The sequence below is a fragment of the Homo sapiens genome, chromosome 13 (genome assembly GCF_000001405.40).
Source record: "Homo sapiens chromosome 13, GRCh38.p14 Primary Assembly".
NCBI classification, from domain to species: Eukaryota; Metazoa; Chordata; class Mammalia; order Primates; family Hominidae; genus Homo; species Homo sapiens.
The window spans coordinates 31008815-31027096 of NC_000013.11; positions in this window are offsets into that span (position 1 = coordinate 31008815).

An 18282-nucleotide genomic window follows, 5' to 3' on the forward strand; every position below is an offset into this window, starting at 1 on the left:
CTGAGAAGGGTACCAAGAGCACAGAAAATACCTGTTGAATTGCTAACATAAGAAAGTCTTGTGGCAAAGCGTGATGTGGTTTTCAAACTGCAGCTCTCTGCCCCCTAGTGAGTCATGACATCAGCTTAGTGTATAGTAGACACAACTTAGGCGTAGAGAAAAGGAAATAGAATAGAAAAAAATAAGAGCACTTTACACAAATTAAAGGTCAATAGTGTTTCACAAAATATGGTGTATATGTGAGTGTGTGTATATAATCAATAGCATGTGTGCATATATATGTTTAACAGATTCTTACTGAGGATTATGATATAAGAGAAAATTTGTAAGTCATGATTTACAACACATACCATAGGAAGAGGTGATGCTTCAGGCTATGTGCCTGTGGTAGAACCAACTAGAATGTAAGTTAATAGACAGTGTATCAGTTATGGATTGCCAGAGTCATGCTGCATAACACATTACCACAAAACCTCAGTGGCACACAAGAGTACTCACTGGTTTTCTCAGGTGCCTGCTCATCAGCTAGAGAATTCTGTTGGCCATAGTTAGCTGGATCACACATCTGAAACCCGGCAGGCCATTGGCTGACCTAAGATGAGCTTGGCTGGGAACCAGGGCACCGTGGCTTGTTCCGTGTATCTCTCCTCTTCCAGCAGACGAGCGTGGGCATGTTCTCAGGGAGATCAAATGAGAGAGAGGACACACACATTGTGCATACCTTTTAAAGCCTCTTTGGCATCATGTTTTCTAATTTTCCACTGACCAAAGTCACAAGCCAAGCTCCAAATTATATGGCAAAGAGTGTGGGCCATTTTTACAGTTTACCACAACAATAAGCAGTAAGGTTGGATTTGCTCTGATTCATCCTGTCCCCAGACTCTTGGCTTTCCCTTTTTTTTATCTTGATTTGAGCATCTGGTGCCTACAACTCCAGAGGGTATGGCTAGAGCCTTTATTCCCTTTGCAACCTAATAGGTGAAAAAGTTACAGATGGACAGCAAGGAGGGGCCCTAGGGAGACCCACTAGAAAGAAGATACAATACAGGACCTGGCAGGGACCTGGCATCTCCTGGCAGGGCAGGGCTGGGTGGAGGGCAGTCAGGAGAGAGGGTGTGAGGGAATCTACAGGAGGGAATTTGACAACTTGGAACATCCTTGTTCTTCCCAATTTTGTATTCAATTCAATCAACTTGTTCCAGGAAGAGGATAAATTAATCCCATTTCTAATGTAGAAAAAAACAAGCCTTCTATTCCTGCCACTAATCCGTGATGTGACCTTCGACAAGATACTTCTCTGGGTCTCAGTTTCCCCACTGTAAAGGAAGGGGGATGACTCTATGGGTTGGATGGTGCCTTCCAGCTTCGTCTTCTCTGCCTTCCTCCAATGCCTTGCTCATGGTACAGATGCATTGCTTAAGGCCCACTCCACCCTCCAGTGCTCAGGACACAGAGCTAATCCATCCTAACCTTCCCTATTAGGGTGGTCATTGCCCTAATAGCCTTCTCAACATCCCCCTCCACTGCTATAGCTGACCAGTGTATACAGGCAAGATGAGCTCTGCCATGCTTATTTGGTAAAGCTGGAGGAAGCAACTCTCTTTATTTCTAAGCCACTAAGAGGCCATGGAATATACCCAAGCAGCTGGAAAAGCAGCAATGTACTCATTTCAGATTAATTTAGAGAAGCGAGCTGGAAAATGCTTGGGCCGTGCCTTGCAACAAATTTGGATCCTCTTAAAAGCTCACATAAGCTGTGATATCCTGATGGTAGGAAGTCTTTAATACTCACTGGGGGAAGGGGAAGGATCTGACTCTTTAAAGGTCACTGTTACTTTTAACTATTTTAAAAGAATAATAAAGGAAGAACACCTTCAAGTAAAGGCATTTAAGGTTCATTTCTAAGGGACCAGCAACTTGGGTTAGAACAATTTACACTAATTTTACACTGGATGAGAAGAGAGGTGATAGGGGACATTAGAGACCGGCAAGTCCACACTGCTCCCCCTCTGCTCATCCATCTGTGCTGTCCCTGGAGGTAGCTGGGGACCTCAAGCAGAGTCTGGAGAAGGGGGCTTGAGTGACCAGTGAGCAGCGTGGCTCTCCTGTGCTGGGATCCTGGTTCCAGCACTTACTAGCTGTGGGAAGCCTGGCAAGTTCATCAACCTTTCTGTGCCTCAGTTTCCTGATCTATAAAATGGAGACAATAATTGTATCTCTCCTACAGAGTTGATGAGAGGATTAACACAAACGTGCATGTAAAAGACTCAATGCTTGGCACATAATAACCTCAACAGAGGCTAGATATTAGTGACAGTGCTGTCAAGCCTGCATTCATTATTTTAAAATTAAAGTACTTTTCTAATTTTTGGCTCCTAACATGGCTAAAAAGACAACCCTCTTTCAAATTTCAGCTTGTGTTGGGTTTGAAAGTCCCCAGCACAATCGCCCCCACCATTTTTTCCCTCCTTCCCTTGCTTAAGCAATATCTGGTCTCCATTTTTACACAAGTGGTTTAACAATCTAGATTCACTGACGAGCTCCCCTTAGACTTCCCTCCTTTCCTCTTCATCTGGACAAGCTGCTGGGGAATCCTCTGAATTTCAACCCCGGGGAAGCCCCAAACCTTCTGGAGTCACTTTCTCTTTTAGAATCTTAAGACCATTGATTATATCTGTCTATTTTCTGAAGCTGTAGAGACAGCCACTCAAGAAACAGAATTTCAAAAGGATACTATATTCGATGAATTAGTCAATTCCCTTGTGGTAGACATGAAATTATCCCTAAACCACCCCAACAGAGGAGACTCTTACAGTGAGAGGCAAAGAGATGCTGGGTTTTAACAATAGGAGAGCTCATTTGCAATGCAAATGAGCAACCAGCAGGCAAATGAACCCTTATGGGAAAACCACTCTAATCATAAAACCTATTTGCTTTGGGGAAACTGCAATGTAAGGACAAGCAGAATCATAGCTCCGTGAATTCCCTCTAATATAGGATATTAGGGAATTATCCAGGTAGTTTTCTATGAAATTGTGCTTGAATGAAACAAAATGCATTGCTGGGCGGTAGATAATATCTTTAAAAATTGAATCCACAATTGCAGACTAAATTATTTATGGTTGTCACTATAGCTGTGATAGTTTGGATATGAAATAGTCAGGCCTTTCCCTTTGTTTTTATTTGTAGGAAAACAAGTCATTCAAGCTTTTTAGTGATACAATGTGACTTGCTGTCGATGGCAGTTACGAATTTCCAAGCCCTGCCAAGCACAGGAGTACCCAGAAGGGACATATGTTTTCTCTGCTTTGTGTTCCAAATTTGCCTTAAAAACATGCAATTATGTGAAGGCCTGATATATATTTTCAAGGAAAAGCACAATAATGGCCCTGTTTTCTAGCTGTGTTTCTCCAAAACGTATTTATATTGCTGCCTTTAAAAAAGAAGTTGGCTAATGATCACTGGATTTTTGCTTTCCTTCGTGACATATGAAAATTTGATGGGGTCTGTGAGATTTAAGAACTGTTTTCTTAAGTGCAAAGGAAATTTAGTTAACATAGTGTGTGCCAAGAGCCTGACAAATCTTCTGTAGTTACCTTTCATCCATTTCCTTATTTTTGTGAAGGGTGGGAGAAGGGAGGCAGGAAGTGAGAGAAGATGTGGCCAGAGGCAGTGATGGTAGCGTGACCCCAGAGGACAGACAGCAAACCTCAGCCGGCTCCTAAGGCATGACAGGTGTGGGTGTGTCATGCTTGTTGGTGGAGGTGGGGTGAGGTGGGATATTTGTTGCGGATGGCTCTGAGGAGAAGTTGTGAAGGGAAAAAGGCTTTTTGGTTGCATTTTATGCTTAAATGAAAATTACTGTAAAACCCTTTATAAATTATATAATCACACTCCCTTTAGATTTCATGCCCTTCATTGCTATTATTAATGATGGCTTTCACTCCACTGTCTCAGCAGCATTTCCAGGAAATTTATTGAGACAAGATGAGTTAGTCTCTTTCTGGATTGGGGAGCCCCCTCCTGGGAGGTAGGGCAATTTTTGTTGTTGCTGTTTTTTTCTTTTTCAGTGATGAAGGTAGAGAAAGGCAAAAGGCCAATTCCACATAAAATGCTAGTTAGTGGACAGGCAATCCATCGCAGTAAAAAAATTTCAGGAAGTATTGAAGCTAAGACGAAAAAATATTCAGGTACAGTGGAAAAAATGAAAGTTTGTGGTAGAGATAACATATAGGCAATATATTTTGATTCCTTTGTACAAATCTGCAAAACAAATGTGTTTTATGTAACTTATGGACTAATAAAGTATTTATATCTGATATTTAGAATTGTAAGGGCTCAGAAAAATACAATGTGAAAAACTGTGACAGTAGCATGTCTTTCCTATAATTTTCCAACCTTAAGAGAAATAATTTTCAAATCCTTAAAAGTTGTTTCACCTTCTGGATTTCACATCTAGAACTCAGGAGAAGTCGTATAGGTGTTCTTAGAGACCGGATCTTTTTATTTTTATATTTATTTATATTTATTTATTTATTTTGAGACGGCGTCTCGCTCTTTCACCCAGGCTAGAGTGCAGTGCCGCAATCTCGGCTCACTGCGAGCTCCGCCTCCTGGGTTCACGCCATTCTCCTGCCTCAGCCTCCTAAGTAGCTGGGACTACAGGTGCCTGCCACCATGCCCGGCTAATTTTTTGAATTTTTAGTAGAGGTGGGGTTTCACCATGTTAGCCAGGATGGTCTCGATCTCCTGACCTCGTGATCTGGCCTCCTCTGCCTCCCAAAGTGCTGGTCGTGAGCCACCGCGCCCAGCCAAGACAGGATCTTTTTATTAAAGCTTAGACCCAAGTATGTTTTTCTCATGTGTTGTGTGCGAGCCTGGTAAACTCTCATCTGCTTTTTTGGATCCTAGAGAAGGCTTTGGCCAAAGAACACTTTGAATTAACTCAGTGGTAATGTCTTTTGTCTGATAAGGGAAATGGCTCTCAGTTTGATGAAATATCTTTTGCATGTATTTAAATACTGGTAAGATATTTCTCCCAGTTAACTTCTGAAATTACTTCCTGGGTTCCGTTCTTGCCAGAAGAGCCCTACAAAGAATTTTCAAGTAGAAACTTCAGGCTACATGTGTCTCCACTCTAGACCTGGGTCCTTGGTTTTGTTCCCCGATGAAAAGTAATTGTGAGGCCATTCAAGTCACAATCTGAAAGATGCTTTAATTTTATAAAACGGCAGATCTCCCAGTAGCTTTGGTGTCAGTCTGAGTTTTACAGGAGGGGCCACCACCTTGGAGACTGGTACACAGAGATTTCAGGAGATGATTCTATTGGAAGAAAAGCCAATTTCCTCCTTTGCTGTTTGCCTCAGGCCTCATGAGACAGTGTAAGAACATCAGAGCCTGACTTGGCTGTACTCACTGGTGATAGTTTATTCATTCTAAGCCAGATGTTTGGGGATTTTCATTTATAAAAGGCAAATTGGTGAGACAGTAGCTAAGAGACTGAAGGTGAGTAGGAGGTATTCTCTGGTGATCCGTTTATTGACTAAAAGAGATCCAGTTTCACTAACACCAGAGTTCCTCCATCCAATGGCCACAGCTTGAGAAAATTTACCCCAGAAAAAGAGATGGCAGGTCAGTTCCCCCAAGGCCTCCTCCTGGCTCAGCATGGGTGAGAGATGGGCTGGAGAGCAGAGGATGTGGCACAGGCAGCTCTAAAACAGAGGACCCCTGACAGGGGACAGAGTCTTTGGAATCTGACACAGTAAAATATTTGTAGACTGCCTTTTCTCATTCAGTCTAGTTCCTGATCCTTTTTTTGAGGGGGTGCGGAAGCTTCCTCTTTTCTCTCTCAAGTCAAAGCCTATCCTATCCTCCCTCTCCTCCCACTACCTCTCTACCTCCTCCTTCCTTCCACCCAGTAAAGCCAACCCTACCCTAGAATTTGGGGTTGTGGAATCAATTGAATTGGCATAGAGACTCACAACAGTGAGGGCTGGAATATCCAAATTACCTGGAGGCTCAGCTTATCTCACTGGACTCATAAAGAGAGAAATTATGGGTTTCCAGAAATTGTATTTTGTAGATATTACTATTAGCATTATACATTTTTAATTTATTTTCTTTTTGTTTTGATAAGATAATATCAAATGACCCTTGAAGAGTTACAAAGCTTAAATGCACCCTTTCAGGTAGGAATTGGCCAGGTGAACTTTCCAAATATTCATCTGGGTAATTTGATTTTCTTTTTGAAGATTGATTTTTCAGTGAAAATCCTTTTAATTCTATAAAACAGCAATGCAGATTAAATTCTTTTTAAACTGTCACTTCTTAATGGAATTAGAAACAAATTGTGAATGCATCAGGGAAATGAACAAAAGAGATACATGTTAGAAATTGACAGAGTTTAGGTAAGTCTAATTAGACATTCAATTCTTTGGACTTTGGCTCCTAGACTAAAGAAAATGCAGCTATGTTCATAGCTAATTATTCTTTTTTGCTTTCAGGAGTATGAAAAGAGAGGAAGACAGCTGCTGGATCTGGAAACTTTCAAATGCATAATGAAACAGAGTATGAGGTCACAGAATAAAGTAAATGGGTTTTATAAACATTGGCTCATTGAAACCACAGTTAAAACTTTAACCATATGAACCAATTAGGCCAGATGATCTATCTGTAAGATCATTCTCAGCTCTGAACTGTAATTTCTACTTAAAACCCATCTGATTTACTGAACTGTTTACATGGTAAAATATATTTAAATTACTTAGTACACTAGACCAACAAGATATTTAAAGACTTATGTTAAAAACGAGAAAAGGCCGGGCGCGGTAGCTCACGCCTGTAATCCCAGCACTTTGGGAGGCCAAGGCTGGCAGATAGTTTGAGGTCAGGAATTCAAGACCAGCCTGACCAACATGGAGAAACCCTGTCTCTACTAAAAATACAAAATTAGCTGGGCATGGTGGCCCATGCCTGTAATTCCAGCTATTCAGGAGGCTGAGACAGGAGAATCGCTTGAACCTGGGAGGCAGAGGTTGCAGTGAGCCGAGATCGAGCCTTTGCACTCCAGCCTGGGCAACAAGAGCGAAACTCCATCTCAAAAAAAAAAAAAAAAGGAGAAAGACTTTTATTACATCACTGGTTTTATACGTATTTTTGTCCGGAGAGGTTGGGCATTTCCCTTACCTCCATCTGCTGGAATTAGGTATTTTAAACTTTTTCTCTGCCACCTTGGTTAGCCTAGAATATGAAATCTTAATGAATAAGGTTGCACTCATATCATAAAATAAAATATATATTATAAAGGAACAAGCTGTTTAAGCTCTATTTGTTAAGGTTTCATGATTATGTCTGAAATTATAGGAAAAAAGTATTCAAGGTAAAGCTCTATGATCTTGTTCCTGGAGTTTGAACAAAAATACACTCTTGTCAGACTGTAGGCTGGTGAAGTCCCCAGGTGCCCTTTTCAAGGGCAGAGCCCCAGATTCCATGGCTACCGTGGGAGTTTAGGTGTGCTTAGCATTTCACTTGCTGTGGGAAAAGGAATGTTAAATAACACATATTTTTTAAAAGTGTCCCTTTCTGTCTTAGTCTTTTCGGGCTGCTATAACAAAACACCTTAGACTTGGTGGCTTATAAACAATAAAAATTTGTTTCTTACAGTTCTGGAGGCTGCAAAGTCCAAGATGAAGGCAGATTCACTGCCTGGTGAGGAGGGCCTGCTTCCTCGATCCAGGACAGCACCGTCTCACAGTGTGCTCACGTGGTGAGGGGTGAGGGGTCTCTCTGGAGCCTCTTTTTATAAGGCCACTAATCTCATTCATGAGGGATCTGCCCTCGTGACCTAATCACCTCCCAAAGGCCCCACCTCCCAACACCATCATATTGGGAGGTAGGATTCCAACATATGAATTTTGGGAGAACACAAACATTCAGACCACAGCGCCTTCATTTGTGTGAAATGAAACAAACTTCCTGTTAGGAAGAGAGAGGAGCGTCTTATTTAAATGTATAAATTATTCAGTGTTTTAGCAATATCCCAGATATTTTAAACCAAAATAGTGTCATTACCTACAATTTTAGAATGCTTGCCTGCCTGCCTGGTCATCTACCCATTCCTTTATTCCTTCCTTCCTTCCTACCTTCCTCCCCTTCTTTCCTTCCTTCCTTCCTTCTTTCCTTCCTTCCTTCCTTCCTTCCTTCCTTCCTTCCCTCCCTCCTTCCTTCCTTCCTTCCTTCCCTCCTTCTTTCAATACATATTTACTGTGGGAGGCTTTGTCTTAGCCCCCATGGTGCAGTCAGTCAAGTCATGGCCTGTGTCCTGGGGAAGATCAGCGCTGCAGTAGAATTAAGCCTGGGTGCAGTGGCAGCACCCAACCCAGACCAAGGAGTAAGGGAGCCTCCTGCAAGGTGAACCTTGGGCTGAGTTTTGAGGGATGAAGGGAACCACTCCATAAAGGAGGGAGAGAGAGGCAAAGGCTCCTAGGCAGAGGGAACAGCATGTGCAAAAGCACAGAGGCAAGAGTCAGCATGCTGCCTGTTCCACACATCCAGCGGAGCATATGCGAGGAGAGGCGGTGGGGGTCCAGGACAGACATCACATTATCTGGGGCCATTTTTGCTCAGCAAAATGTTACCCAGTACATCACTGAGGAGCCATGAGACCATTTCTCTGTTCACTTATGTATCAAACAGTCATTGACTTCCAACTATGTGTCCACGTTGCTTTAGGACCTTTATATATTTTATTTCATCAGTCTCCAGAATATCAAGAGCCCCCTCAAAAGGATTCTTACCCCTATTTCATAGCTGAAAAGAATGAGATTTAAAGAATCTGAGTAACTTGCTTGAAACCCCTCAGCTACTAAGGAATAGATTTGGGATTGAAACTCTAGTCTCTCTCTAAAGCTCATTATATCAGTTAGGATTGGCTTTAACTACAGGTGACAGAATATGCATAACCTCAAAGGCCTAAGTGAGGCAGAAGCTTTTTCCTCTCTCATGTAGGAAGTCGGGGGTCAAGTAGCTTCATAAAATTTTCAGGGACCAGACCCCTTCTACTCTGTGGTTCTGCCATCCTCAGCCTGTGTGTTCCTCCTCATGGCCCAAGGTGGCTGCTCAGACTCCAGCCAACATGCTCTCATTCCAGCCAGCAGGAAGGGAGGCGTGTCAAGAAAAGACTCACCCCTTCCTTTTAAAGACAACTCCCAGAAGCTGCCCATGACACCTGCATTTGCAACTTTTTAGTCAGAAATTAATCATATGTCCTATCTAGCTGCAAATGAAGCAGGCAAATATGGTCTTTGCTCATTTCTTTTCCACTATTCTAGGGTTTTGTATTCTAGTACCTGCTAAGAACCAGAAAGTATCTCCTTTGCTCTTTCTATGCAATACTGACTTACTTCATTAAAATTCAGTGCCAAGAAGGGGAAGGAGTGCTAAAGCATACATTCAGGTAGGGCACGATGTGTAGGATATTTCAGATGTAGGTGGCATCTAGAGGAACAGTGGTCTCAGCCCAGAAGCATACCAAACCCTTTGGCTTCCTTGCGAAGCCAAGAGGGTGTCCTAACTTTCCTAGAAATACTGTACTTAGATGCTCCTCCTTTAAAACTGACAGTGGTCTGCAGTTACCCATATAGAACTTATCGTTTTCCATTACATGGTTGGTTTGCTTGTCTGTGACCTTGCTAGATACTGAATGTCACAAAAGCACATCTTTCAGCTCTGAAGCCTCAGCATCTGGCACAGTGTTTGACCTACCATTGGTGCTCAGTCTAAGTGTCTCCAGTGACTGAATCACTGTGTGGAGGCAGAGTTCAGTGTCCCTGAGTGTCTCACTGAGAATCATGCCCTTGCATGCAGAAGCACGTGCTCCTCCTCAGCTCTGGGCTGGAAGGAGGAGGCTGGGTCTCTCTGGGCACAGCCCACAGTGCTGCAGGGCCAACAAGAGCCCATCTGATGGCCCACAGCCTCACCATGCAGCTTACAACACCGCATGGCCCTTCCCTGCTGCCATCCTGTATGGAACCTCAGAGTGCCCAGGGGTACACACAGCTCCCTGAGGCTTGGCTCCACAGTCACAGAGGTGGTCTCGGGGGCAGCCTGAGCCCAGTGTGTAAATGCTACTCCTCCTGGGCTTTTCCACTTTCCGTTCCATCTCTGACCCTAGGCTCTTGTTGAAGCCATACCTCTGGGCGTTTTGGTTTGTTTGTACATTTATTCCAAAAATCTGCCTTAAATATTGTGTGCATTGTATTGTCTAGTGGCCGCGGTGAAGTTTGGCACCGTCAGCCCACCCCAGGAATGTGACATGTCTCCACTGGAGCATGACTTAGAAGGAACTGGTGCTGAACTTGGTTGCACAGCCAGGGTCTTTCTTCATGACCCCTACACTGGCCCTGAGTGTTAGACTCACCACCACGCAATGCCCTGGTGTGTTGGGTACCAGGCATCACCTCATCTTCTCCATTTCACTATATTACTGCTCAAAGGCAGACACCCTGGGATATATGAGAAAACCAACACCTGACTTCCCAACACAGACATGTAATACAACCAGCTCTGGTGAAGCTGCCTTCTACACACGTTCATGAAATTATAGATCTTGGGGCTTGAAAGGACCTTAGAGTTGTTTTAATGTTTAACCCCATTCAGTTCTCAAATTCTCTTCTCTGCTAAGCCATGAGCCAGCATGAGCTTGAATGTGTTCAGGTAAAAAGAACTCAATACCTTATAGGGCAGCCCATTTCAAGGTTGGAAAGCTCTGACCTTAGATATTTTTTCTCCTCTATGAGCTGAAATTAGTCTTTATTGATATTCTACCCTGTAGCCCAATTTCTATACTTTTCAGCCACTGTATTAGTTATTCATTGCTCCACAATAAATTATCAAAAACTTAGTAGCTTAAAACAATATACTTTTTTTTTTTTTGAGACAGAGTTTTGCTATTGTTGCCCAAGTTGGAATGCAATGGTGCAATCTCAGCTTGCTGTAACCTCTGCCTCCCTGGTTCAAGCAATTCTCCTGCCTCAGCCTCCCAAGTAGCTGGGATTACAGGCATGCGCCACCACGCCCAGCTAAGTTTTTGTATTTAGTAGAGATGAGATTTCACCATGTTGGTCGGGCTGGTCTTGAACTCCTGACCTCAAGTGATCCAACCACCTCGTGTCTCATTGTGTTTGTAAGTGAGGAATCCAGGCATGGCCTAGCTGTGTCCTCAGAGGGGAGACCCTCAGCTGGGTCTCACTAGGTTGGGGGCCTCATTTGAAAGCTTGCCTGGGGAAGGATCTGCTTCGAAGCTCACGTGACTGTTGCCAGGATTCAGTTCCTTGCAGGTTGTTGGACTAATGGTCTCAATTCCTTGCTGGCTGTCGGCCAGAGGCTGCTTTTAGTTCCTGGCCACGTGGTCTTCATTATAGGGCAACTAACAGTATGGCAGCCAGCTTCATCACAGCCAGCAAGGGAGCGAGTCTGCTGGCAAGACAAACTATGATCTCATGTAATGTCATCACAGAAGTGACATCCCCTCAAAGTTGAGGTATTCTATTGGCTCCAAGAAAGTTACTCAGAGCATGAGAATAATATAGGCCATGAACATCAGGAGGCAGGGATCACTGGGTTCATCTAATAGTCTGCCGGTATAGCTGCCCAGAAAAAAATATCTCTGTCCTACAGAATGATCCTGCTAATACTTGAAAACAATTCTCATGACTTACACGTCTTTTTGTCTCCGTTTACACCCAAGTGAGTATCCTCCCCATCCTTGTCCTTTGAACTTGGTTTGCTGTTTAACTCAAAACGAGGCGCCTAAAGAGAGACTAGTGTTTGGTCAGGAATGGACCAGGGCAGAGGGGGAATTCCTGGGAGCATGAACACTGAGGAACACAGAGCTTCTTCTGCGAATTAGGGCCTGATTTAAAAAATAAAAGGTCTAGAAGCCCAGGTATCCCACTGGAGAAGGACTTTGGCGTCTGCACTGAATTTCAATTAACCATCCTATTAATGTTTTGGAGTTCCAGAGATCTTTGAGTATTATGCATTTTTGAATGTGAAATTTATATGAAGATTTCCTCCTCCTTCTATACCCCTTTCCCCAGTAATCTAGTAATTTCTATAAACAGATTTTTTTCTCTCTCTCTCTCTAGAGTATTAAACAAATAGAACAACTGTTCATGAAAGCAGACTGTGAAGCACTGGGCAGAATTCAGTGGGGTAAGTTGGGTTTTTTGTGAATCAGATTTGGAGTTCTAGGGAATTTGCATAATGTATTTATTTCCCAGCCCACTTCTTTCTGGAGAACTCTTTGCCCCTCATTTCCTTTGGCCAACCTGAAGTTGAACCAAGGGGACGTGCTTGCTCACAATCTTCAAATTCTTGCCATGTCTGGCTATACTTGGAGTAGTTCAACTAGGAATTTCAGGAATGACGGCAAGTTCTTAGAAGGATATCCTAAAACTAAGGATTGAAGAGTGCATCCACAACTTCACCCAAAGCAAGAGCACACCAGTGAGCAAGAAATGCCATGGGCAGCGGCACCTGGTGATGATCAGATGAGTGTTTGGAACAGGGATGCCACAGAATAAATTTTCAGCAAATATGATCATCATCATTATTAATATTTCCAAATTTGGGATGTATAATAATGAGAGGCTAAGAAGGCTGCTTTTAACATTCTTCATCGTCGTGTCCATCAGTGTACTTCCATTGTCCTAGAATGAATTAAGTTTTAAAATGACAAGTTGAGCAGTAAGACACCTCTCTATTCAGGCCGGGCATCCTGGCTCACGCCTACAATCTCAGCACTTTGGGAGGTCTAAGTGGGCAGAACACTTGAGGTCAGGAGTTCAAGACCAGCCTGGCCAATGTGGTGAAACCACATCTCTGCCAAAAATACAAAAATCAGCTGAGCATTTTGGCATGTGCCTGCAGTCCCAGCTACTCCGGAGGCTGAGGCAGGAGAATTGCTTGAATCCAGGAGGCAGAGGTTGCAGGGAGCAGAGATCATGCCACTGCACTCCAGCCTGGGCAACAGAGCAAGACTCCATAAAAAAAAAAACAAAAAAGCAAAAAAACAAAAAAACAAAAACACCTCTCTATTCAGACTTTTGGCCAATTCCCCCACCAAATTAAATACAAGTGGTCTCATTGTCATCTGATTTGAAAAGGAACATTCAGGATTCCAGGGAAAAGAAGGAAAGCTTCTAATGAGGTAGGGTTTGGGGGAAAGTGGAGAGAAAATGTAGATTTCCCAAGCCCCAAATATCCCCGACCCCTTCACTCTGACCACAGAGTTTTTTTCTGCAGGTGTACTGCTAAGATTCGAAATGAGGCACACATCCTGGTGGGTAGGACTGCAGAGTTGTCACACCCATGGGGACTCATGTCTCTGGCCAGCCACTTACTAGTTATGATTGTAGGCAAGTTATTTAACCTCTTTAAGCTTAAGTTTCCCAATTTGTAAAATGTGGTGAACAATAGAACCTATCTCCCACGGTTATCTTGAGAATTGAGAGGAAGGTCTCTGTTGCATGGAACATGGTACAGTCTCAACAACAACCATCATCATCATCCTCTTTAGAGAAAGAAACTGGCAGCAGAAGCCAGCCCAGCAGCTGGGTAACAGACTTCTGGGCTCAGCTCAACAGGCACACCCCAGTTATTACCCCCCAAGATTTTGGCAGCCGCGTTTATGTGCTAATAATGATGTTATGTCCAAGAAAGGCATTATCCATGCCCAGATGGTAAGGAGAATTTTTGAAAGCCAGAAAGATAGAGGACATTTCATGAATTGTCCTTTATCCTCCAGGGTGGCTTCCGCACGTATCTGCAGCTAGAGTATTTGGAGCGAGCTAATGCTTTGGCCCGACAGAAAGAGGTTTCCTTCCTGCTGCCTGCTGCGCTGCGGAGGCTGTCATATGGGGGTCCCGTGCTGCGCATTCTCTCTATGCCTGACGACACCTTAATCATGATCAGAGAAGATGGAGCTATTTATTTCTGGTCCCTGCAGCTGAAGTTGAAAAGAAGAAAGCGGGTCTTTGTATGTGATTTTCATTTGATAAGGATGCTGAGTGCTACAGTTTGATTTTATTTGCTATTTTAAACTGCTTCTTAAGTGGTGTGATTACATAAATTGTGTCCTTGAATATAATATATTCATGCTGGATTTTGCTAGTCTGTAGAATGCAAATAAAATATGATCTCTCTATGTAGTGCAAGATAAAGCTTCATTTTGCTTCTAAAATCAGATGGAATGATGAATTACATGTGATTCCATCATGTGATTTATTGTATGTCTTAATGAATGACAAATAGAAAAGAATCTTCCCTTCCTCCACCCATTAACGGTTATATCAGTTTAGGTAGCTATGTTAGGCCTTCTCTTCAGAGAACTTACTGAATGACAGAATCAGAAATTCAAAAGACAAAAAGCACTGGGGAGGTATGCTTAGGAATGACAATGCCTGACCCATTCCAGGATATGTTCTATTTTTAAAGCCATTCTTTTTATTATCTCAACAAATATTTTAGTCTCTGTCATAGACCAGGCATTGTGATGGGTGCTGGGAACACAGAAACCCAGTCTCTGCCCTCAGGAAATGTATAATCTATCCCAGATATTATAGCTGCCCCAAAGCCCTCGGGATGCAGAATATGCTCTCCCTAGAGACAGAAAATAAAGTTGATTCTCCAAATCTATGAAACAAATTATTTCCACTTGAAGGAGAAAATAAAGAAAATTATATGATGTTAAACATGCATACTACAGGCAAGAATGGCTTGAGACAACTGAAAATGTCTGATCATTAAAAAGGCATATGCTTGTTCATTTTCACCCTTCAACCCTTTAGGACAAGTCCACCAGCCAGAACCCCAGGTGGATGACAGATGTCATCTGCATGCTACACTGCAATAAACTGATCATTGGGACCAAGTGAGTGATGCTGCTCTTCAACCCAGAAATGAACAATCAGCCAAGAGTGGTGGCTCACGCCTGTAATCCCAGCACTTTGGGAAGCCGAGGTAGGCAAATCATTTGAGCTCAGGAGTTTGAGACCAGCCTGGGCAACATGGTGAAACCCCGTACCTACCAAAAATACAAAAAGATTAACCAATGTGGTGGTGCACACCTGTGGTCCCAGCTACTTGGGGGTCGGGGGCTGAGGCAGGAGAATTCCTTGAACCCAGGAGGCAGAGGTTGCAGTGAGGCGAGACTGCGCCACTGCACTCCAGCCTGGGCGACAGAGTGAGACTCCTTCTCAAATAAAAAGTAAAATAAAAAAAAGAGAAGTGAACAATCACTGTGTTACAGAATCCATTTTCATGTGTGAATTCACACAAACAGATACATGTTTGTGGTATGAAGATAAAGTTATGAGACCCTTTTCAAAAAATACTAAAACTCATGTATCAATCGAAGCTACCACGCAAGGTTATCACTTTGGCCTATTGCAGTGATGCTGTCATTGCCCCCAACAGAGACTGAGGTTTTCTTTTGGGGAATACTTCTGGGGCCAAGGTATGGGCCAGACTAGAAAAACATTAGCCTTGGTACTTTTTAGTACACCTTATTTTATATTCAACATAGTTTTCCTATTTTATTAGCCACAAAATTTTGTCTGTAGTGCTCTGAACTGATCCAAAAAATAAAATCCTCTGTAGAAAGATGATCACACTCACTGCTGAAGCGCTTCAGAAGAGCGAGTCTCAGGCTGGGAAAGGAGGCCCTGAGGTTTTTATCAATGGCAACATCATGAAAACGAATATGCAGGGTCCTGGGCGCTGCTTGACTCTTCTCAGTAATGGGCCACGTCAAAGGCGGTGTGGCTTGATGGGAAGAAGGTTTGGAAAATGTCAAATCAAGGTTGAAGCAAAAGCAATTTCTAGGCCATTGACAACTGCCCATAAAATAATAATAATAATTTTTTTAAAGAGCAATTTCAACACCGTAGGAGGATGAATTATGAGTGAGTGGGTCTAGGCTGAAAAATGAGGCTGTTTAGTGCTGGAGTCTGGGGGCCATGGCTACGAGAAGGGAGAGTGATTGAGGTTCTCACAGCACTGCCTACCAGGACACCATGGACTCCTTGGAAGCTCAGCTTCTTGCAAGGGTTTTCTCCTCTCTACCTTGTCTCTTCCAGAAGTCACCAGTTCCCTAGGATTTAACCACTTGAATGAAAAGTTAAATACAACCTCAAACTATCTAGGCTATTAAATATAATTAATTTTAATGTTACATATCATAATGTATATATTTATTAATATATGTAAATCATTAACATGTATTTATCAAAATATAAATATAACTAACATAATAAATATTAACTATTCTAAAAGCAACAAATTTAGATTTATACGTTCAGTCCAGTTTGATTCTTTAAAGTACATTCAATGACTTTATCATGTGTTTTAAACGCACAGAAGTTCAGAGATTGGAGCAGGATCTTATAGAGGCTCTCTGAGCTGACAAACCAGAAGTTGAGGCAGGGTATATGCCATTGGGAGGCAGGGAACCACTTTTGAACTGCAGGACAGGTAGAAAGGAAGTGAAAAAAAGCCATTTAGCACTGAGACAAAGGCAAGGCCTGTGGACTTGAGAGTGACCTGTGTGAACAAGTCAAAGCAGTGAGTTTTCTCACACCCACAAAATTCTTCTTTTCATCAGCTCCAAGATAGACAAGCTATCATAGGAGGGAAGGGGTCCACGCTGCAGCTTAGGAAGCGGGGAATTAGGGAGGCACCAAGTGAACCCTTCGGTGTAGAGAAAGAGGCCTTCAACCCTCCGCTTTGCAGAGCTAACCCTTTTCATATTATCAATATCAAACAGCAGCTCATATTCTGAGCACTTCACAAGCCCCAGATACTGGACTGAGCCCTTTCTCCCACATCATCTCGTTTAATCCTCACCACTCTCCTATAAGGCAGGGACTGTTACAATCCCATTTCACAGATGAGGGAACTGAGTGCTGAGCTGGGATCTGAATACCCCTCTGCTGGAATTCAGAGCTCAGGTGGTTGAAAATTGTGTTAGCCTCCTGATGGAGAAGGACCAGCCCCGTGGGCAGATTTAGAACCAGGCCAAAGAAGTTTTCCCAAATGGGGAGAGCTGGGAGGGAGGCCTCAAGCTCCACCCTGCTAGGTCATCGTCCGGTGCCTCTGTTTTGTGGGATTTGTGGAATACAAAATATTTCTACAGAGGTGAAGTGGGAAGCTTAAAGTCTACTTCAAGTGTGCTTGATTTTTAAACAGGAACCGTGAAACCCAGCTGTAGGAGCTCTCTATTGCAAAGCCCTACTGTCAGCTTGGTGGCCTGGAAGCTGTGCCTATGGAGCTGGACTGCTGGCAAGGGAAGGCGTCTGCGGGGCCAGGAGGCCTGGTTGTGGGTGGCTTCCCCTGGACATTAAAACCTGGCCTCCTCTCTCCTGGGGCAGCTGTGTTCAATCAGTAAATGTCAGGGTTCCAGGCAGCCTGTCACAACCATGGCACAGCTCCCTCTTTGTGCCCAGCAAAGAGGGAGCTTCCTGCATCTAGCAAGGACAGGGAAACCAGGGAGGTGAAATTATTTTTAGAGTCATGCGGTTACAAATTAATTTCTGTGTTAAATGAGACTGGATTCATTTCCTGAAATTCAACTCTGATCACAGTACTCTGCTTCTTAATAGTTACCAGTTGTTCTCCAACACAGTAATGTCCAAACCCTTCTGAGGCATCCACTCCCTTCTACCTTTCCAGCCTTTGCCTTGCTGTGCCTTGAGGCTGGGGAAGCACTAACCTAACTGAATAGGGAACTGTCAATGCGTCAAACACTGTCGCCTCCATACTGTTCCATGTGCTGCCCCTTACCCCAACGACATTTGTTGCTCGACATTTGTTGAGCACTTACTATGTGCTGATTTGATTGGACACGGAGATGCACATGCGAATAAGACCTGGTTCCCAACGAGCCATAAGTCTCATAGAGCAGGTAGTCCTGCTATAATCCTACCATTCTTTCCAGCTCACACATCATTGTGAAGATTACCTAGAATGTCCATCATAAGCAGAAGTGAGCGTACCCAGGAGATTCCTTAGCCTTGAGCTGTGGCCACCAGTGTGCAGGTCCTTAGTCATTTGTGGGTGACACCAGCGCCTTAAAATTTACTGTCTACTCTCTGGCACCTACATATCAACTGGTGCATTGTAGGTGCTCAGGAAACATTTGTGGATTAACCAAGTCAGAAATTCTTATTTAAGTGGACGAAGAGAAGGTCCAGGCTCATTTTGCCTTTCCTTTCCCCCTCCTCC